This window comes from Homo sapiens, chromosome 4, assembly GCF_000001405.40.
Source record: "Homo sapiens chromosome 4, GRCh38.p14 Primary Assembly".
Taxonomy (NCBI): domain Eukaryota; kingdom Metazoa; phylum Chordata; class Mammalia; order Primates; family Hominidae; genus Homo; species Homo sapiens.
This window is the reverse complement of record NC_000004.12, coordinates 93,465,838-93,490,536: the sequence shown is the minus strand read 5'-3', so window position 1 is coordinate 93,490,536 and position 24,699 is coordinate 93,465,838. Positions and strand designations below refer to the sequence as shown.

Here is a 24,699-nt window from a genome sequence, read left to right as displayed (position 1 = left end):
TTTTTTCTGCTTAACATCAACATAGATCTCTATATTTTCATCACTCCATATTTAATTCTCTTTTATGAGATTATGAAAGACCCAGCCAAAAGAAGCATGATAAATATTTAGTATAACATGTTTAAATGATAGTTCTTCCCCCTTCCTGTTCAACCCTATAATTAATTACCTTTTATTATAATCACAGGTATATGCTTTCTTTCCAAGGGCTTGATTATTCATTAGTTAGGTGACATTAATATTGCTATGCCTATATTTAATACAAATTTTCAGATTTCCAGTTAAATAAATAATATTGAAAGGATTATTTTTTGTTATATTCTCTAGAAACATAGCTTGTTAATGATCATGGGATCACACATATTAGTGTTGGCTTCAGCATCACATACTTGCTTTGTTCTACTTTTAATTGACTTCCTACTCTTACAATCTTGTTGCAGAATCCTCTTCTCCATCTTTTAAATGTTGGAGTGTTCTTGGGCTCAGTCCTTAGACTGCTTCTCTTCTCTGTCCATAGTCTCACCATGGACAATATCAACGAGTCCCCTGACTTTGACTATGATCTACAGTATACTTTGATAACACTAGAATTTACATTTCTAGCCCCCTACCTTGACTCTTTCTAGAGAGCTATAGATAAAAGCCTACATGATTCTCACTTGCAATTCAATATGCATCTCTAACTTATGACATCTAAAACAGAACTCATTTTATTTTACTCCCAAATTAACTCTCCTTCAAGCCAGTCCACACCATGTCAGGGAATAGCACCACTATTTACTTTATTTCTTAGACCAAAAATAGGAATTTTCAAACATCTTCTTCAATAGCAAGTCCTGTCACCATTACATTCAAATTACATCCCAAATCCTACCTCATCTCATCCTGTCTACTGCTGACACCCAATTCAAAGATGACATCTTTGACTCTACTACTGAACTACTTATGTGGTTTCCCCATTTACTTACATTCTAGAGAGTACCTCTCCTAAGTCTATTACCATGGTGCCTTTATAAACGAAAATCAGATCAATGGGATTCCCCTATCAAAGCTTCCAGTGGCTTCCCAGGACTCTTTAAAAAATAAAATAAAAATCTCTACCAAGGTTTACAAGACTCTATGTATACTGATCTTAGGTCAATTGTCTGACTTTATTTCTTACCATTCTCTCAATGGCTTTCTTGAAATTTCCTCTATAGAGCCATGCCGATATATGTCCCAGGGCCCTTGCATTTGCAAATGGTTATGCCTAAAATTTTCTCCTCTATAATTCATAAATTCCGTCTTCCTTCAATTTTTTCAGGTTTCTGCTCAGAGGATATCTTTTTATAACAATCTTTTATCACCACTCTATCTAAAATAACTCCCCACAACCCTATACTGCCAATTCCTTTATCTTTTTAAAAATAACAATGTATTAGGCTTTAAACATTTTTGTTTATTTCCGTCCTTTATAATTTTTGATATAGGAACAGTCCTTGTCCCATATTAAGTGGGTAATGTTTTTTTGAATGAATATGTGCTGTGTTATGGACTAAATTATTTCTCTCTCAAATTCATGTCCTGAAATTCTAACCCACAATGTGATTGTTATTTGGAGATAGGACCTTTAACTAAGTAATCAAGGTATAGTGAGATTGTAAGCATGGATTCTAATCCGATATGACTGGTGTCCTTATCAGAAAAGGAAGAGACACCAGGGATGCACATGCATGGAAGAAAGGCCATGTGAGGACACAGCAAGAAGGTGACCATCTGCAAGCCAAGGGGAGAGGCCTCAGGAGGCACCAAACTGGCTGACACCTTGATCTTGGACTTCCAGCCTCTAGACCTTTGAGGAAATAAATTTCCATTGTTAAGCCACCGAGTCTGTGTTATTTTTTATGGCAATATTATTAGACTAATACATGCTATATGTGAACTATTAATAGGCCTTCTAAAAGAAGTTAGTTTTATACTCACGGTGGAAATAAAGAGATACAATACTACTTTCATGTAGTTCTATCAATACGTGAATGACTTAACAGGATTCGATTTACTATAATATCAGGCATATTTTAATTACAACCACGAGTTCCCACTACGTAATATGTCTAAATTTTATACGTGGGGTAAGTACACCCTTTGGTTATATTCTAAGCTATTCCCCTGATGTATTATATTCAGAACAGGCTAACCTCTGATATCTGGAACCCATTTTTCAAAATAAGTTACAATGCATTTTAGATACCTTCTTCTTAAAAGCAAAATAATTATTTGCCCAGCTTTTGAAAGGTAAAAGCAAAATAAAATATTTATTTTTACATCCATATGAGGATTTTCTGGTCAAAATAGCTAATTGAAAAAATAATAATAAAATGTGAACAAGATGATAGCCAAAGACTAAAAGATGTTAATATGTATAACAAAATTAGAACAATAAATTTATGAATGAAAATGCTAATTGGGCATTCATTTCTATTAAAGTTTTAGCCTTGATTAGAGTTGTTATCACCCACATAAAAGCATACTTGAGTTTTTTAATCTTTGTTATAAAAATTGCAACTCAAGGAACTCAAATATTCTTGTAGAATGCAAATAAAATGTTATTTGATAATTACATTTAGGAATCAAATATTAAAAGTAATGGGAATCTTGACTTCCAATTTTGGTAATGGTTGGTAATGGTTGGTGGATGAAGCCATTCAGAACAATCCTCCCACTGACAACAACTAGAAAAATTGAATACATAATGTGTTTTCAGAGCTAAAGAGGCAGTAAAAATTTATAGGCCCAGAGTCCTGGAGAAGAAAATAACCCAGAAAGATAGCTTCATATTTGGAAATGGTTTTCCCTGAGGGGCATATACCAATTTAAAAAAAGAAAGCTAAGAAACTAACAAACTGAGGAACACTTTAAAAGTATTCAATGGTTAGGTGGTAATAAAACTGGGGTCCAGGGCTTGCCAAATGAGGGTGGGACTGAGACAACAAGAAAATCCCCAAATGAGCATAAATGAAGTCATGGGTCAAAGAAAATCACCAGAGAAATGAAAAGTACTTTGAATAGGATGATAATAAAAATACTCCATATCAAAATTTCACAAGTTTTGAAAGTAGATGGGATGCAGCTAAATTGTATTGAAGGAAACTGATAGCCTGCAATGTATAAGAAAAGTATTCTGAGTTACTCATCAATTTAAAGAAGTTGAAAAAAATCAGCAAGTTAAATGTGAACAAGTACAAGGAAGAAAATAATTAAGAGCAAAAATTAACAAAATAGATAAGAAATGCAATTAAAAGGTTGATCTGACAGAAGTTTGGTTCTTTAAAAAGACCAAAATAAGCTGTTGAAACTTACAAGGAAAATAAGTGAAGACACAAAAATGTAACAGGAATTTTAAAAGTACATTGTTACAGATGTTACAGATAATAGAAGGATAACTTATGTACAAATTTATGCCAATAAATTTGAAAATTAAGATGATATGGACAAGTTCCTAAAAAAGTTCCTCCCCAAAGAAATAGAAAATTTGAATGGTTTTGTAACTATCAAAGATTTCAAATCCGGAATTAAAACCTACGCACCACAAAATGTAAGGCCAGTGGTCTTACTAACAAAATCTACCAAATATATGAGGGAGTAATTAATTTTAATTGTACACAAATTCTTCATGAAGTTAGAAAAAAGCAAGACACTATTCAATCCATTTTATAAAGAAAGCACAACTTTGATAACAAAACCTGACAAAGTTATTCCAATAAAAGGCAATTATAGGCCAATCTTTCACATGATTGTAGATTCAAAAGGTAAATAAATTAGCAAACGGAGAACTGCATAAATAAACAGATAGGGTTTATTATAGGACAGCAAGATTGGTTTGGCATTCAAAAATCAATCATTGTAATTCGCTACTTTAGGACCAAAAGAGAAAAATTATATGATCTTGGCAGATGAAGAAAAGGTACAGATAAAGTTCAACATCCAGTCTTAGAAAAACAAAACCAAAACAAACCTAGAAATAACCAGCAAATTGGAAACTTTAAAAAGTGTTCATTATTTTTATAAAGAGTACTTTAAGAAAATCTATATCAAGTATCATACATACTAATAAAATAAAAATTTTTGACTGTCTTAAAGGACACAAATTGCTAACATTTCTATTCAGCATTGAATTGGAGTTGTGCTAGACTCTGTAGTCCAAGAAAAAAAATCAGAAAAAAGTATTTAGGAATTGGAAAGAATGAAACAAAAGTTACGGATTAGTGATGATATGAATATGTATGTAGAAAATCTAAGAGAACAAAGGATAAATTACTAAAATTAATAAATTAGTTATCAGCTTGCTATGTTACAGAATCAGTGTTCAAAAAAAGATTTTATTTATATATAACAGCAACACTGACAACATAGAATTAAAAAACATATCATTTGCAATAGCATTAAATGATCAAATAACTAGGAACAAACTCATTTAAAGATATGAGAGACCTCTACATGAAAAACTATAAAACTATTTTTGAGTAAAATAAAGGAAGATTCAATAAATGAAGATATAGCATGTTCATTGATTGAGAGACTTAATACTGTAAAGATATAAGTTCTCCTCAAATTGATCTATAGATTCAGTCAGTGAATTCCCAATTAAAAATCCCAGGTTGTGTGTATGTGTGTGTGCACAAGTAAATGTGCTTGAAGCTGAATGTAAAGTTTATATGAAGTTGCAAAAGTACAAAAATTGCCAAGATACTCTTCAGGAAGAAGAAAAAAACTGGCTCTTGATGACTATAGATTAATATAGTAATTAAGACAGTTGGTTAGTTGTACAAGGATAAACCAAATAAATAAATGAAAGTTGTCCATGCATACATAGGCACTTGATTTATACCCAGCTGGCACTAAAGTATGTACTATAGAGAAAGGGAGGTCTTTTCATTAAGTAGTTCTAGGTTAATTAGATATATGTATGAAAAATAATGAAACTTGTCTCTTAACTCATACTATACACAGAAATTAATACCATGCAGCCTATAGATATAAATATAAAAGGTAAACAATAAAGCTTCTAGAAAACTATATAGGAGAATATATCCACAAGTTTGGGTAGAAAAGGATTTATTAAACACAGCATAAAATGCATTAACACAAAAGAAAAGATTGATAATTTGACTGCAATAATACTTCATAGTTAAAAAGATACCATAAAGAGAGTGAAAAGACAAGCCACAGTAGAAGATATTTATAATACATATACCTAACAAAAAATCATCAATAAATATTAACTCCTATAAATCTATAAGAATAAATGAGACAACAATCAGAAAAATGGATAGGTGGTTTCATAAAAGAAGATAACCAATGGCCAATAAATATATGAAAAGGTAGCAATCTTATTAACTACTGGGGAAATACAAAATAAAAAAATACCACTCCACAGCCACCAGAATGATTAAAATAAAAAGATTTACAATAGCAAGTGTTGGCAAGGACATGGGACTATCAGAATGCTTGTACCCTGTTGTTGGGATTGCAAATTGGTTCAGTCAATCATTCTGATAAATGATCTCTGAAAACTAACGTATGCATATCTTAGAATACAGAAATTTCCCCCATTAGGTACATACCCACTAGATGAATGTACATACCAAGAGACAGAAATGTTTGTAGAAGCATTGTCATAATAGTCTAAACTGGAAACAGCCCAAACATACTTTGAGAGTAGACTGGATACCTCCTTACATATTTTAAGTTTGGCCTCAAGGTTTCTTCATGCGTAGTGAACTGTGACCTAACTGGATGTACAAACAGACTGTAACCTACTCTTGTACCAATCACAGAGTTTCAGCCAACTATAGGTGACCAACTGTTCAAACTGTGTTCAAATAAGGCAAATGTGGAGCTGTAATCAATCCAGCTGTTTCTGTACTTCACTTCCATTTTCTGTATGTCACTTTCTTCTTTCTGTCCATAAATATTATCTAATCTTGTGGCAGCCCCCCAGTTGCTCTGAACCTATCTGGTTTGAGGGGCTCCTCAATTCCTGAATGGCTCTTTGCTCAATTCAACTCTGTTAAATTTCATTCATCTAAAGTTTTTTTTTGAACACAAACAATAAAATATTGCACAACAATGAAAACAAGCAAATCTCACTTATAAACAACACCATTAATGGGTTTTATGAACCTAATGTTGGGTAAAATAATTCACACTGTATAATAATTGTTCACAAGCAAGCAACATGAATGGCAGTGTTGATGATCCCATGGATGGTTACCTTTGGGAAGAGTGAAAAATGATTGAGGAAAAGGAAATGGGGGCTGGGTCACTGGTAATGTTCTATCTTTTCCTAGGTGGCAATTATACAGGTGGACCATTGCTGGTAATTCATTGAGCTGCACAATATGTTACGTACTTTTCTGTAGGCAAATAATACTTCACAATTAAAAACTAAATAAAAGAAGAAAATAAGGAGAGAGAATAGTGAATTTAATAATGATATTTGTTTTCTTTCTCCTTTTTTTATCCACAATTAGAAAAAAAATATGCATTTTCATAGAGTCAGGATGCCAGAAGAGAGAATTAGGTAAAGGACAAAATAATTATGTGCCAAATTAAAAAAAAAACATAATCTCACCTTGCTAAAAAAGTATTGCAAAAATTAGGCTGATACTTCATGACACTTCAGAGTGTGCAAAGGTCTGACTCTGAAGTTGGGTATTTGGATTCCTATAGCCCTTGATAAGTTTAAAGTGCTCTGCTAAAGCATGAAAAATTTTTATTTTCCAAAGGACCCCTCTGTTTTAAGGAAAATCCTCTTGACCAGATTTTCATTTTGATGTGATTGTTTTACCACATGAAAAACTACATTAACCTTGCTACTGTATACATTAGCTTACTTAAAAAAGTTGTTAAAAATAAGCAATTTCTTCAGGCAAGTTTGGGAAATTTGATAAATCCATCTGAGTCAGGCAAAAATTTGTTATTCTAAGTCTTATTCTGTGTGAGTATATATGCATCTTTGTGTTTCCATGAAATATGAAAAAGCAATTAATTGTTGAAGAGTCTCCAATTTGGTTGTTTGGTAAATCCACTTCTTATAGGTTTAAACACTCACAACATTTTTAATTTGTAATCTGGAATGGTGGGATTATTTTATAAATTATAATTAGAAAAAAATGGGAGAAAACTAATACCTTTTTTAAAAAAATAAACATTCCTTTTTCAAGAGTTGGATCTTTATTGGAAACAGGTTACTAACAAAATGGCTAAAAACTCATAGTAAATAGAAAATTTTCATTATTCAAGCTGACTGAATAGTTCATGTAAGCTGATCAATTAAAATGTAAATAAATATTAGCGTGTTTTACACTTACAGAATCACAATGTAGAAAAACAAAGAAAGATGATATTGTTGGAATTTGTGTGGAAGTCATTGCCAGCATAAGCATATTCTACATTTAAAGATAGGAGGAGATAATGTATATATCATCTCTGAAATGCTTCATTTATGCCAGTCACCTTTATATAAGTATTGCTTAAAGTTTATTGATAGTCAAATTGAGAGATACTGTGACCAGATCTGTAAGTGTTTTATTTTTTTGACAGAAGATGTGGGGGTAATAAGGAAGTGAACAAGAGATACAAGTGCGGTTTCCTGTTGTCCACAGGATAATGGGTTCACTATATTGAACCCATTTGCAAGCTAGGGTAGATTTTCTACAACATGACATGTCTATCATGGGTATAAGAGATGGCTTTTTGTGGTAGGGAGAGAGAGCACAAAAATCACATCATGTTACAGTGAGTAAGTTGTTCCATTTACAATTACCTTTTAGAATTTATTTATTTATTTATTTATTATACTTTAAGTTCTGGGATACACGTGCAGAATGTGCAGGTTTGTTACATAGGTATACATGTGCTATGGTGGTTTGCTGTAAACATCAACCCGTCATTTAGGTTTTAAGCCCCTCATCCATTAGGTATATGTCCTAATGCTCTCCCTTCCCTTGCCCCACAACCCTCGACACGCCCCGCTGTGTGATGTTTCCCTCCGTGTCCATGTGTTCTCATTCTTCAACTCCCACTTATGAGTGAGAACATGTGGTGTTTGGTTTTCTGTTCCTGTGTTAGTTTTCTGAGAATGATGTTTTCCAGTTTCATCCATGTCCTTGCAAAGGACATGAACTCATTCTTTTCTAAGGCTGCATAGTATTTCATGGTATAAATGTGCCACATTTTCTTTATCCAGTCTATCATTGATGGGCATTTGGGTTGGTTTCAAGTCTTTGCTATTGTGAATAGTGCTGCGATAACCATATGTGTATGTGTCTTTATAGTAAAATGATTTATAATCCTTTGGGTATATACCCAGTAATATCATGGTAAGAACAAAGCCTCAGATAATAAGGTTCTGAAATTTTGATTTTACTTTTACAAAGAAAATTCAAATCTCAAACTCCTTTTGGCATTCAATGGAACTAATTTGTATTCAATGTTTCATTTACATTAAATGTATTTTATAGTTATTTTCTATTGAATGCAATGACATTCCTTTTAAGTTGCATTAGTGAATATTACCATTATTAAGAATAATATAAACCCTTCTGTAATCTGAATTTCAAGCATTCCAATCTCCTATGCCATCTTCAATCTTTTGACCTTCCTCCCTCCATCAAGCCTGCAATCCCTCTGGGATCTAAGATGCACTGACCCTGCTCATTTTTGCTGTCCCTCTCCACCCTCCTAGAAACACTTCCTTCTTAAATTTAGTAATTGAAACAGAACCATAAAAATGAGATTCTGAGATTGGATTGCTCCCATATCTCTGTAGCACATATTGATGGGAAATGGAACTGTGACAATTTACAGCCTGTGGTTACATTACAATTGTTTAAATAACCACCAGAGTTGGCATGGAATGAAGTGCAGGTGGAATGCAAGGCCATGGCAATAATAGTGATTTTGAAGATTATGGTTCCAGCTAACTGCTCTGAAGTCTCCGAATGAATACAGAGTGCAAATGAGAAACTTAAGGCCATGAATGCCTAGCTCAGAAATAAGGTAAAATTTTAATATCTTGATGGCAGTTTTGAAGAACTCTCTTTATCCTGTAGTTTTAGGGTAGATACTGCTGAGGACAAGATTAAGGCTTGACTGTAGCACAGCTTAATTGCTGATTAAATCTTCTGCCATATAAGATATCTCATGCATTGATAAGAAATTTGAACTTTCAAATTCTTCTGAACCTTCTTGTTATTGGAAGCAACCTCTCACCACTTCTGAGGGAATCAGCCTTCTTCTGCACAAATGCTTTTCAATAACTTGACATAGGAAATTTCACGGATCTCTTCTGGACTCACCACGTTACTCCTTATTGACTCCATGCTACAAATTAGGTCCCAAAATAATTGAGTCAAAGAAGTATAAAGCCCACTTATAAAAGTTTACACCAAATAGTATGACATTAAGTATCTATTAGGGCAAATATATTGTCATGGGTGGTAAGATTTCAGATTTGGGATTTAATGTGCTGACTTGATACTTGGGCAGGGGGTGGTAGTAATTCATTAGATTGGCTAATTAAAGAATGAACCAAAAATGCATGAAATTTGAAAATAACCTATATACAACCTCCCTGGCCTACTGTAGAGATTCAGGGAGGTGGGAATGTTGGAATGAATCTGTTCCAAGAAACTTGGTCACCTCTCTTACATGAGAAGGCCAATCCCTACACAAAGACATTAAAAAATGCATGGAAGGGGGCAGAACACAAGTATCTCTGAAGAGTTCTGTGTGCTTCTCCTCTGAAGTCTCAGATAACACTGGGGAATCCTGCAATAAATTGCATTTCTTGATCCAAAATGAAAGCAGTATCCCAGGTAAAGGCGTGGTGTGGATGACTAACTATAAGAGATGAGGTAAAATTACCACAGTGAGTCATGGCTGTTTCTCAGTGATAATTGAAGTGTATTATCTTCAGAGAACTATAGTAATAGCTTATTGATCACAGTGACCCTAAAAATAAAATAGGTGCCTCTATTTACATAATTTACATAATATACAATCTATTAATTACAGGTTATACTTTATAAACCATTAAGGTGCTTCTTGATATGTATGGATAGAAAAATTCCACATCTGAAGGCAGAAATCTAGCCTCAATTGCTGAGTGGGAATTTGGAACCTCTTATCTAGTTCCCAGAACTAACCCAGTGTATATATTCAGAAGCCCAATACTGAAGAAGGGGTCAAGGTAGCATTTTTTGATATGTCCTTTTTTGGCATTTTTAATGTGATTTTTCAGTAGTAATGGTCAGGTCAAACATACAATTTTGTATCCTATTTACTACATCTTCAATGGCTGAATGATATTGCTCAGTCAGTTCTACTATAGCTTATTTAAGTATTCTCCTAGTTTAGAAAAGTTGGAGATTTTTATTCTATCACATATTACATTGCTATAAACATCTTCAAACATGTAATGTTTTAAATATTTTGACTTATTTTCTTTTGACAGAATCCATGAAGAAAAGCTATTTTGTGAATGAAGTTAGTTTTTTATATCTTATACAAGTAAAGAGAATTTTCAAGCACATTTTATAACATGATTTATTGAAAAAATAGTGATAGGTAATGTCATTTCTCTATTTTTGCTATGGCTCATTTTAGGTGTCAACTGGATTCAGGAACAGACAACTGGTAAAACGTTACTTCTGGCTGTATCAGTGGGGGCTTCCAGAGAAGACTGGTGTGTGACTCAGTGGACTGAGTGAGGAAGATTCACCTTCAATGTAGGTGGGTACCATCCAGTTAGCTGGCGGCCCAGATAGAACAAAAAAGGAGAGAAAAGGATTTCTTCTCTCTATGTCTCCTGGAGCTAAAACACAGTTTTTCCCCTGCCCCTGGACATCAGGATCCCTGGTTTTCTGGCCTAGGGACTCCAGGACTTATGCTAGTTCCCCGCCCCATCCCCACTCCCAGGTTCTCAGGCCTTTGGCCTGGGACTGAGAATTACATCATCAGCTTCCCTGGTTTTGAGGCTTTTCTTAGTGTTTCAGAATCTCTAGGTTGCAGACAGCCTGTCATGAGAATTCTCAGCCTCCATAATCATGTGAGCCAATTTCTCTAATAAATCCCCACTCAAATATCTATATCTACATCTCTATCTATCTATATATAGGCATACCTCATTTTATTGAATTTCACTTTATTGCACTTCACACATTTTTTTACAAACTTATTTTTACAAATTGAGGCTTTGTGGTAACCCCGTGTTGCAAAGCACCATTTTTCCAGCAGTACATGCTTACTTCATGTCTCTCCATCAGCATTTTTTAGCAATAAAGTATTTTTAAAATGAAGGTATGTATATTGCTTTTTAGGTATAATGCTATTGGACACTTAAAAGAATACAGTATAGTGTAAACCTAACTTTTATATGCACTGGAAAATTAAAAAAAATTGTGTGACTCACTTTCTTGGGATATTTGCTTTACTGTGGTGGCAAAAACTGAACCTGCAATATCCTCAATGCACGCCTCTATGTATCCTATTGGGTCTGTCTCTCTTGATAATCTGACTAATATAATTGTTATTTCAGTTGGTTTTAAATGACTAAATATTGTTATGGACTGGCTATAGGTCTATTTGCAAATAAGCAAAAGAAGGCTACAAGACATTAGATCATGTAATTGAAATGAAAATTTCCTGTAGACTTCTCTGACTTAATATTTACATGTCATAGGCATTATGATACTTGTAAAGCTTATAAATAGCAGTTCCTTCTTTCCACCACTTTTATATTATTTGTGCTTTTCTAGTTTGAAGAGTTCCATGTTGGTTGAATAATGCGTTTCAGTTTTTAATATATTTTAATGTTAACAGTTAAAATATAAAATGTTTATACTTAACATTAACATAATGTTAATTTAATATGTAGTTAGTTAATTTTATGTTATGTAGTTAATTATATAATTTAATATTTTATCATATTTAATCTATTAAAATTAATAGAATTCTTTTATACATACAAATGCCATCTATACATATTTACTTAAAATAAGAATGTTCTGAGCAAATAAAAATATGTTATTTCAAATTAGAACTTCCTACAGAAGGAGACGATCTTTATAATTTTTGAAACTTCAGACTTAATACCAGCAGTTAAGTTTATTTTACCAGACCCAATACCATAAAATATTTCTGATGAGCAGATATGAAAAATGCTAAATTAAAAATTAAAATCAAATTAAACGGGTGCTGGTTACCACACATAAACCTTACATGCTGATTTTAACTTAACTTTTAAGTGCCAATTGCTATAACTCATATTAGAACTAAATTGAATTTTATTACACAAAAACATATTACTTGGCAGTTTCTTACTTTCACAATGTTTTTGTTACTCTAGCCTGTATAAAATTCCCACTGTTTCTAAAGAGCTAGGGAAAAAAAGAGCCCATTGAACATCAATCACAGATTTCAGGTTTCCAGTTTGTAAGGTGGGCTACATTACAATTTGACACAGTTGTATGTTAAGTAACAGTAAAAAATACTGAGGTAAGTGCTGCATTGAAATATAAACTCTCTTAAGTGCAATGTTAAGAACATATGGGTGAGTAATACACATAATGTTTATCATTAATTCCCCACCGCAAATTGATTAACTTTCCTGTCTCCAAGCATAGTGGCAGTGATAGCATTTAGAAACCCTTTCTGTAAATTCTATCTCTAGGTCTCATTTAATAAAGCCTTTTATTCCTCCATTGCACTAATTGCTTTGCATTCAGTTCTACTGGACAGTCTGATCATAGTATGAATGAAATGCACTAATATCCACTGAAAGTAGCTTGTTATACAAGAACTTTATTGGGTCAGGCAAATAAATTTTCCAGAACATTAATTAGCAAAGTTCTTTTTTATGGGACTGCTAAATCCATTTTGAATTGGTAAGTTTACTTTTTTATAGATTCTGAAATGACATTGAAATTAGAAGTTCTTTTATCTGTTTTAAGAGAGTGTTTCTAAACAAGCTTCTAAATATCTGAAATTGAATGTTTTGGTCGAAAGGCTTGGTAGTATTTGTGGCTGTTCATTGAAATTTCCACTAATTCATAGGTTTGCATCTCACAATATTAATGGATAATCAAAGCAGGTTTAGCACAAAGCAGAACGGGTCAGTGCTATGGCTGAATGACCTTCCGAACATTCATACTGAAATTTAACTGTCATTGTGATAGTCTTAACAGATGTAATCTTTAAGGGGCGATTAGGCTATACAGGCAGAACACTCATGAATAGATTAATATCATTATTTTAGGAGCAGGCTCATTGTCACAAGTGCAGGTTTTTACAAAAGTGAGTTCAGCTTTCTATTGTTCTCTGGCTACTTCTGGAAAGTTCTCTGGCTCTCTCACATTCTCTTGCCCCTCTGCCCTCCACCATGGGATGATGCAGCATGAAGGCCCTCACAAGATATCAGCACCTTGATATTGGACTTCCCAGCCTCCAGAACTATAAAATAAATTTCATTTATTATATCATGCCCACTCTGTGATATTTTCTTATAGTGAAACAAAATGGATTAAGACAGCCAGTCTGCCACATGTCTTCCTTAAATTTCCCATTATTTTTATATGCAACAAAAATGTATTTGTTTATTTCTTTTTCTGTTCTCATTTCCAGTATCTGTCAAAACTACCTTTGTAAATGTTAATGATAAAAATAAGACTATATCTTCAGAACATTGATATAAGTTTCAAAAACAATGGAGGAATATGTCCCAAACACTTATTGACTCCCAGAATACTTCCCATCACATGTATTGTTTCTACTACGTAGCATTTTGTCAAAACCACACACATATATTTAGAAATATCTTCAGCTTTTGTATTCACGCTCTTATATCTGTTCCATTTTGATATTTTAGAAGTTTTGTTAAAAAATAAAAAGGAGAAACCAAGTAGCCTCATTCTTTCTTTCCTGGTTTGGCTTTAGATATGCTAGATATTTTATAAGGGTGTAAGGCTAAGATTCTGGAAAAAGGCTTAAATGTATCGTAAAAAGCATTTTCCTATCTAATACTACAAAATTAAAACATTTGAAAGTTTAGAAATTCAATTGAAAAGAGGGAAAGATATTCAAACAAATCCCTTAATATCTTCAGAAAGCTTTCAGATAGTATGATTGAGGGATACACTGCAATTTTAAAAGACAATTTATATATCATCCCTGTGTTTTTCTCACTTCCACCATATTTAACATTTCATGTATTTTTTATTTATTTTCTGTGTATTAAATTACTTGATTTACACTGTAGGTGTTTTGTTTTCTACTTTTAACACATCATTGTATACCAATTGCCTATTTGCTCACCAATAAAGTAAACAACCAACCAAAAGAAGAACACAATGCATGGTTTGAATAAGGAATATAGTATGATTCTTTACATATATACAAATGCTACTTTCCAGAAGGTCTCAAAAATTATTCTCTTTTCTTTTTATACTTTTTTTTAACCTACTGATTTTACCACAGACCTGGCAATGAAATGAGGGCTGGGAAAGGCACCGAAACAGTAAATATTGTCTAGATGACTAGTCGTTTGTCAAACAGCATGAAGCAAGACTGCAGTTGAGTCAGAACCTGCCACTCTGTAGTGATCCATTAGCTTTTAATGTTTTAAAATAATTATAGTGAGGCCTAAGCCACTATATAAAACCACTATATAAATTCTAGTGCCATTAGCAACCCCATTTTTCAGAGATTCAATCAATCAGTAGTTCTGAGGAAAATTGCACCCATTTTGCCAGTCCCAGAAGCATGAAAGTTCAAAGGGTAAGCAGCAGTTGTCAACAGGAATCAAAGTGAAATGGATCTCAAAGTGAAGTTTTTAATTTGGAATTTCTGAGGTTGGTTACTAAACTAGGCCTTATGCATAAGTATGTCATTAGTTCTAAAAGGTCAGAGAATGCCAATACATTTTCAATCAGTTTTAATGATAAAAGAGCCAAAAGTAAGTCTAAAATACATTTTTAAGCCTCCAAAATGTCATTTAAAACCAGCAACCTGTTAACCACCACTGGAGATTAGTTTTAAATTAAAATGACTTTATTGAGCATACATTAGATTTATAATTTGATAGAGAAAAAGGGAATCATTTAACATTATGAATCTAGTCTTACAAAACAATATCAGCTTTCCTAATTTTGAATTTTCTTCCGTAATTTTCAGTTTTACAGAGCTCTTATGCTTAAGTTCTTAGGAGAGTATTTTAAAGAGTTGAAGAGAAAAATTGATTCTATTCTGATTTCTTTTCCACATATTCTTTTGAATAAGAGATTTAAAAATGGTTAAAATAATTTTTCCAGGAAGTTCTTACACTTTCAACTTACAGCCTCTGGAGTCACTGAGTTAGGGACTTGAATTGATGAGCAGTAGGAAAATCAGGAAACAAGGTTATTGTACTGGGCTGAAGCAGTAAATCAAAACCATGGATGTAACAAAGAGGAAGTAGGCTCAGGGAGGAAGGGGATCAGGGTGAAGTTGCAAAACAAAACAAAAAACTTATTAAACTCAGGTCAAGATCAGAGAGTAGGAGGTTACAAAGCAAAGGTCAGGAAACAAAATATGAAAGCCTCTATTTGTTAAGTATTTACTAAGGCATTATGCATTGTTTTAAGTGTTTTAGAACTGTATTCTTATTTAATCTTCACAACAGGCTTATGGTATGACTAGAAAAGCAATATTGGGCTTCCTAACCCAAGGTGAATATCATAGAGGAGTGGGGAAATAATACAATATATGATCACAGGCTATCATAGGGAAGGGAGAAAACCAGGCAGGGAGTGACATATGTCAGAGAATTTAGGAAGCCTCCTGGTGTCTCCGCCTCCAAGTACATGCGCCATTTCTTCCACCAAGGGTTCTGATTTATTATTTCCATTTCGTTTTCTCCCTCTATTCTCCTCAATGACTAGAATAAATAGGTTTAGATCATGGGCTTCCTACACTAAAAATTTAGGGCAGGTTCAAGCAAATAAATTTAAAACAAACAGAATAAGAGTTTGTCTATAAGACTCAGAAAAACTCCCCATTATTTTGAGTTGGAAATAATTTACTTAGACCAAGTTATTTAGATGATTCTAAAAAGCAGTCAACTTAAAACATAACCAATATAATGAATTGATGATCCTGGAAGATGTAAAGAAAATAGATGGAAGGTGATATTGCAATGACAAGAGATTCTAATGACAAGTAAGAGAAGTAATAGGTGAATAATTCTGTCCTCAGAGTTGTTCTAGGAGGCAGGCTGTGATTCTACATATCTTAACTTCATGTTCTAGTGATAACTCAACAAATGCATTTGTCGTTTCTCTATTTTAGTAGTAGTATATAAACTTTTAATTGAATCATAAGAAAATTCTAAGCACCCAGTATTGGAATTATAAATTGTTTTTATATTTTCTTTTTTAATTACTTAGGCAAATAACTTTTTATGTAATCTTAGATATAATAGATTATATGCTAGTGAATAGCACTTTCAATGTATAAATTGTACATGCAAACAAAATGGTGAGTTATATTTTTGCTTTCCTTTTCCCAAAAGGCATTCATTCACCCTACTTCTCTGCATAAATTTATTGAAAATAGAAAAAAATATGTATTTGCTGCTTTTTCCAAGTTTCACAGACTTAGAAATTTTTTATGCACATATGGCAATACACAAGAGACTCTTACAATATTTGAAAATTCAAGCTGCTATTCAAAAAATAGACATCTCGGGTAGTTTTTATGTGAAGACATTAACTGAGGAAGCAATATGAATTAGTTATAGCCTTCTTGCATTACATGGTATTATTTTATACCTTTATAAACACCAACAATACACATATAAAGGTTTGAGCTAAATTTCAGTTTGCCTTTTGCCTACGTTTTTAACATTTACATTATCAGCAACAAATTTCAAACACTTTTGTCCAAATGATTTAGGTAATTTTTAAGGTGTGCAGAGTTGTCATGTTTTATGTCCAAGTAGTTTCAACTGTTTGAATGTACTTAAGCTTCTTCTCAATATCTAGTGGGACACAGTAATGTAAAGCTGAATTTTACATTATTTTAATTGACTATTACTTTTCTAAATAAATATTTTTAAAGTCTATTAAAACTTATGTGATTTTAATTGTTGAAATGTTCAAATATGAAGTATGGTACAATGTTAAGCTGAAAGTATCAAGTCTTAGATGCATACATATCATTTAACTCAGAAGCTGCATATCTAGGATAATTTCTTCAGAAAATGACCATGGATGTGCACAAAGATTGAACCACTAGAATGATTTTTTAAAATTGTATAAACATATAATAAAAGGGAAGTTGGCAAAGAAGTTATATTTATGTACACACATACAAATAATATAGTCTTATATAGACAGTAAATAATGTTACAGGAAAAAATAGTTAAAGGAAAAAATAGATGTCAAGGATGTACTAGTAATTTAATTTTAATAGCATTACATGCAGTATGAAACTACTGTTGCATACATATTAATATATTTACTGTTTTTTGACACTCCATCAGGCACTAAGCCCTGTCGTGTGGGTTTCTGGTTTATTCTCTCTTTTCTATTCCTTCTTCTGTTTTTGTTGTGGTAGTGGTGGTGGCTGATTTTCTTCAGCTTTGCATTACTTCAGCTATTCTATTTCAAGTCTCATAACCTTCAAATCATGCTTCATACTGTCTGCAAAGAGCCCAGTTTTAAAACATAAATTTTATTGGGCCAGTTTGATGATGAAACATCTTTAATGAATATCTATCTTCTGTAACATAAAGTCGATTTTCTTTGTGTTCTACCTGAGCATGTCTGCAATCTGGCCCCTAACATTTTCTCTAGTCTTATCTCCAACCTTTGTTCCATTCATATGCAAAAATGGGATCCTCACACTGTTTACCAGCTTAAACTTTGAAATGTCTGGAATATTCTTTTTCCTTATTTTTATCTGATAAGTTTACTTTTTAAACTCCTGATAAATACGGAGAATATCCACCACATTGATCATTTAGCTATGTGAATGAAATGCTCTTGTTGTGGCTTTAAATAAAGGAACTATATATTCAGTAGTATTTCATATTTTTAATGTATATGGATAAAGTCTAATCTAACATTTCTTTAATTATGGTTAAAAGTTATACCCTGAGAGATCATCTGCTGATAAAATTATAACTTTTTTTTTGAGATGGAGTTTTGCTCTTGTTGCCCAGGTTAGAGTGCAATGGCGTGATCTTGGTTCACTGCAACCTCCGCCTTCTGGGTTCAATGATTCTCCTGCCTCAGCCTCCCTTGTAGCTGGGATTACAGGCATGCGCCACCATGCTTGGCTAATTTTGTATTTATAGTAGAGATGGGGTTTCTTCATGTTGGTCAGGCTGGTCTTGAACTCCCAACCTCAGGTGATCCGCCCGCCTCAGTCTCCCAAAGTGCTGGGATTACAGGTGTGAGCCACCGCGCCTGGCCAAAATTCTAACTTCAATCAGCATAAATAAAATATTAAATTCAAGGCTAGGCAAGGTGGCTCAAGCCTATAATTCCAGCACTTTGGGAGGCCAAGGCAGGCGGACCACCTGAGGTCGGGAGTTCGAGACCAGCCTGACCAACATGGGGAAACCCCGTCTCTCCTAAAAATACAAAAATTAGCTGGCGTGGTGGTGTGTGCCTGTAATCCCAGCTACTTTGGAGGCTAAGGAAGGAGAATCACTTGAACCCAGGAGGCGGAGGTTGCAGTGAGCCGAGATCACGCCATTGCACTCCAGCCTGGGCAACAAGAGCAAAAACTCCGTCTCCAAAAAAAAAAAAAAAAATTGAATTCAGGAGAAGAAATAACAATGAATTAAGTAATGAATAAGGAATATGTCTTAAACTTGAAAAGTATGTATAATCTTGAGAATTGTTTCAAGCTAAAATTTCCACATTTCTCTGTGTTAAGGGTAAATTTTCTAGCAAACAAATCCTGATAACCAATTACACACCAAATCAAAGATCAAAAGTACTAGATCATCCGGTTAGGATCTCTGTAAGCTTCATTTGAGTCTTCAGACCCCTCAGACCTATTATAGAATTTGCCCCATCACTTTTGTTTTTGGTAATTTAGTCAACTAAAAACTGAGGGATAAAAACTAGAAGGGGAGTTACGGAATACAATTTTTGAAATGCTTATCTTATGAAGAGACAGTTTAAGAGTTGAAAGATAATGGGTTTCCCCTCCTTGCAGCCTATCTATAAGAAGCAGCACAGCCTCAGTTACTTTCAGAGGAAATTATCAAAATATCATCTGCACAGAAGCAAAAGAAGGAAGGAAAAGAGTTTTAATAACAAAGTTTTATCCGTGAGGTTTGTTTCATTTTATTTCACTCATGCCAGATGCTCCCATTTAAAAATTAAATCTATATTTTAATATCTTATTTATAATATCTTTATTCCACTAGGCTTTTCTCATTCCTTTACTTCCTTTGAATTCCCTGATTTCAAATATTTTTAATTATATTGCTAAAAGATTTGTAAAATAGATTAGACAAAAATGCACGTCTAACAAACATTGTGTTACTTGTTTGTTTTAATATCACTAAGAATGAGCCACATTTTACAATATCATAACAGAAAAGAAAATATAACAATGTACTATTTTATATGAAAATGGCTCTTAATAAGACTGTTTAGCTAATACTTAAAATTTAAAAATAAATTGATAAGAATATATCTGTAGATTTTTGTTTTTGAAATCATACACTTTTGCTTACTTTCTGCCATCTGTGCATTACACAATATTTGTTTTTAATTTTGTCAATTAGTGTTAGAAAGTTTATGAAACTACATTGAAAAATCAGGGAGAGATCGTCCCCTAAAGGAGAAATAAGATATATGTGTGCGTATACACACACGTATGTAATATGTTAACTTATAAACTCACAACACATCACGATAATATTTATTTGGTATATGGAATTATCTACACCTGAGCTATAAACTAGTACAATTATTTTTAATTTTCTTAGTTGATAAGCTCCCTCAATTCAATGATAGTCTCAGGTAGTCACAGATTTGAGGATTAAATTGCATCGCTGTCAAGTCTTGGAGTGAAACAAGTAAGTATAGCCAGCTTACAAGTTTGACCTCTGCAATTACTGTTCATTTTCTAAGTTTCCTGGGGGTAAATGCATGTTAAATTGCCTTTTAGTGCTGGGAATGACTTTTACTTAGCCAAATTACTCTCTTTTGGTTCATCAGTTAAATATGTACTGTATATAATTTAGTAGCAAGAAAGTTACTCATTCCGACTTAAAAGTGTCCATCCTGGACATTGTTTGTGGCCAGATTCAATATCTTACATTATTATAAAAAATGTGTTTGTGTTACTAAAGTAGGCTTTTATATGCTTATCCTTTTTAATGAATTATTCAGGTCATCAAATGTAATTTTCAACTTGCTTAACCTAATTTAAGTCAGCATTTGTAGAATGTCACTTGGGTCAATACAAGCTCAGAAGGAAAAATTAAAAATCAATGAACATCATAGTGAACATTTTAATTTTCACTTTTTAACCTAATCCTTTTTCTGTATTTGGAGGACTGAATATTAAAGACCCATTTAAAAATATTTAGTTTTTCAGAAACGTCACTAATCTATACAACTATTTGCAATAACTACAGGGGACCGGTTGCACTATTTCCTGTGTCAACAGAAGATCTGACCTTGTTTTCCGATAGCTTAGAGATTAAGTGCAGCCCTAATAGAAGAACTGTACATCATTTTCAAAGGAAGGTTTTCTGGAGGATAATGCTGAGTTTACAGATTCCTACTGTGGTTGAACCTAGTGTCTATTTAATCTTATACTCCAGATGGCCTTTTGTGGCCAAATGACTGCAAATTTAAAAATCAAGAAATGTTTAAATGGAAAGAGTTGGCCTTGGTAAGGAAGATTGGAGATAGAAGGTTATTCATTTTTTTTTCTGTGAGTGAAGCAAAAGAATGCACTGCTATTATGAATGTTAGCAGATTTTAAGATCTTTATGGATAAATAGAAGGTATATATACATTTTAAATAAATAAAAATAATAAAAATATTCAATTTAATTTCTTTTCAGGAAGAATTTTCTAAAAAGAAAGCCTTATTTAATTCTACTCTGAAAGGCATTATTAGTAGATTGATTTGATGTAGCAAAGAATTTTTTACCATATATATGTATATTTCTTTCCAAATACATTTCAAGTAAACTGGTAAACTGATTTTGTGAAATAGCATTTATTCTTCCCAGAAAGAAACTAGGTTGATTGAGAAGAAAAAAATAAACTAAGAATGCCTGTACTTTTGCTTTCTCTCTGTACCTTCTCTACCAAAAGCACCAGGGAAGATTTATCAGAAAAGAATGGCCTTCTTCAGGAGTCATCACCACAAATACAGCTGGGAATGAGACGTATCTCTTGATTTACTTGTTAACATGTGTTCCAAAATGGATAACCATATGTGTCTGATCTGCAGAGTAGAAAACATTATGGCTAGATCTTGGAGTTAAAGTTTTTTAAAATGTACGATGGCTGGGTATATTTTGCAACCAGCATGTATCTACCTAAACATGTATACATTTGTATACCTATAAAATATAATCATGACTCCTTTAGATACAAATCTACATTTTTTGAAACAAATATTAAATCCTCAAATATGCCAGATGTGGAAAATAGAATAGCTCTAGAAAAGTTTGTCAATGCCTCCCATTACAATTACATATATTTGTCTTAATGTTTGTCCTGTCACTTCTCTGCTTAAAGTACTCCATAATTCTCCATTCCTCTCAGAGTAAATGTGAAAGTCTACAAAGGTCAATCTCATCTGAACTCATGGACCTCTCTGTCCTCACCTCCTACTAAACTATGCTTCCGGCCTCTTCAAGCAGAACCTTTGCATTTTGAACTTCCCTATACCTGATCATCTTTCCTCCAGATATCTATCTATAAAGTATATTCCTTCCTATCCTTCAGGATTTTGTTCAACATCAAATTCTCAAAGAGGCTTACTGCAACAAATTGAAAATTGTAACAGTTCCATACATACTTCCAATTCTCCTTACTCTGAACTACTCCTTCTATAGCATTTGAGTTCTGATATATGTAGTTTATTTATTTATTTATTTATTATGGCTGTTATTTGTTGCCAGTCTCCCTCTACTAGAAGATGAGCTCCATGAAGGCATGAATATATGTGTGTTTTTCTCATGAATACAGCCCCAACAGCTTGAATAGTGCCTGGCACATTACATACACTAACTGTTGAATGATCTTTAATTTAGACCCAAAATGCTTGGTTCTAAGATAGGTAAGACATGCTTAATCTGAAAAAAATGCTTTTCTCAATTTATGAAACTGTACATAAAATTTGTTCAAATGACTGAAGGGATATGTATCACAGAGGAATTCAGACATATATTTTGGGGCTCTTATATATTATTAAGATGTCTAATGAGTTTAGAAGAAATGATGCAATATGATTCTATAAGTACAAACTTGTTTTCTCAGCAGAATAAACTGGTCTTCTGGAAAGGTAACAAAGACATTTCACTTATTTCAAAACATGTTATGATGATGCAGGTATGACAAGTTTAACACTTCCTTTGTTTAAGATAGCATTAAATAAAGGAAGTTTGTTTCCAATGTAAAAATTAGTGTAGTTAATTAAGAGAAAATGTCAATAGAACTTAACATTGTCATAGGATAATGGTTCCTGCTGCTAGCTATATGTCAAGAGAAAGATAAATAAGATGGAGTGATTTATTAAGCAGTGCCACACTGCAGGCAATGCATTTCTAGAGGATTATAGCACTCCTTGGGTGGTGATGTAAGGCAGAGGACTAAAGGCTAAGTGGCCTTAACCCTTTAATCAGTACAACAATAGCACAGAAGCGTGGTACTTGTAGACAGTCCCTGCTGATATAGCAAAATGACTTTTATATTTAGAAGAGACTATAATGATATCAAAGAGGATCTAAGTTAGAAGAGAATGCCATCAACAATTCCTTATAGCTTTGTAGATAATTATGTGAAGAAGTCATACTATTTCAAAATTTAAAAGCCAACAAAGTTTGAATCACCTTTATATAAAATACAGACTTCTTAAAAATTACTTTAGGCAAAAATTGGTTGCTGATTTAGGAACTTGGTCATTGTTCTCAGCAAAATCGGTATTAAAACAGTATTTGGAAAAAACATCTAAAGATAATTTTCCTTTTCAATAATTTTAATAGTATAAATTATTTTCAGATTGTTTATATTAAATAATGTCAAAGATGGTTTAAATCCAGAACCAACTTTTGCAATCTGGCATGGCATGTTCTTCACTTCAAACTGAACTCAGAATACTATCATGAACTTTGATTTTCTCAGATCAAAGAAACAAATTTCACTGGTTACTGAGAATTTGTTTTCAGATCCGGCATGGTATATTTTAGTGTTGCAATAACATAAAATAGTGGGAATAGATACTTAGCAAGATTCTTTATATCTTTCTTACATGTTAAATTGTATTTCATAGGTATTTACAATATGTATTACATTTAAGTTTACAATGAAACCAGAGTTCAGTAATTCTGTTAAGCTTAAAGGCTTTCTTTCAATCTATATTTAACATAGGTTATGTTTCTATATAATTGACAAGACTGCTTTCAGTTTCATTAACATATTAAACTATCAAATAGTTATTAACATGTTTTAAAATTATAAAACATTTTAGTTTTTAGTATTGATACTGAGGTAGGAGGTGGGATTCAATTCCAGAGGCAGGGCTCAGACAGTGAACCAGATTAGGCACTGGCTAAAACAGGGCCGGGGCAGAAGCAGCTTGTCATCAGACATGCCCACCAGCCTGTCAAGTCAATTTACCACTGCCATGGCAACACTCGGGAGTTACTGCCCCTTTCCATGGTAATGACCCAATGATCCAAAAGTTACTACCCCTTCCCTAGAAATTTCTGCATAAACTGCCCCCTAATCTGCATGCAGTTAAAAGTGGGTTATAAATATGACTGCAAAACTGCCCTGAGCTGCTACTCTTTGCCCATAGGGTAGCCCTGCTCTACAGGGGCAGTCATGGAGCTGTAACAACACTGCCTCTTCAATAAAGCTGTTTTCTTCTACCTCTGTCTTGCCCTTGAATTCTTCCCTGAGCAAAGCCAAGAACCCAGCAGGCTAAGCTCCACTTCGGGGCTTGCCTGCCCTGCATCAATACTATGAGAATATCAAAATAAAAAATGAAATTTCAGCATCATCATCATCATTTTAGCTGGAAAAAGCCCATATGGTTTCAGACTGCCATCAGTGGCAGTTTGTGAACATTGCTTAGTTTAGAAACTAGCCTTCCTGTAATGTTTATACTTAATATTGTGCTATTTTAGTTGCAGATCTCGAGATATAATTCCCAAAACAAAACCCTAAGTGTACTGTTTTTATAGGACATTAATCCCCCCAAAACCTAAGTCTTTATGAGCCCCAAAGAATTTACTATATAAATTGCAAACATCTTGAATCACAACTTATAATTCCACTCAATTTGGGTTCATTAATTTGTTGTATTCCTGGCTATAGTCTATTATAAAAACATGTAGTAATGACATGCTTAAATAGGGAAAAATGTTTTTGTAGTTTTTCATATTTACTTGAATGACATAAAGTTATT

General features: G+C 33.1%; 1 protein-coding gene across 17 annotated transcripts in view; it reads right to left on the bottom strand.

Moving 5' to 3' along the window:
- The window catches only part of GRID2 (glutamate ionotropic receptor delta type subunit 2), a 1,506,491-nt gene that overhangs the window by 319,920 nt on the left and 1,161,872 nt on the right, over positions 1 to 24,699 (bottom strand). The gene's annotated exons all lie outside the window — the stretch shown is intronic.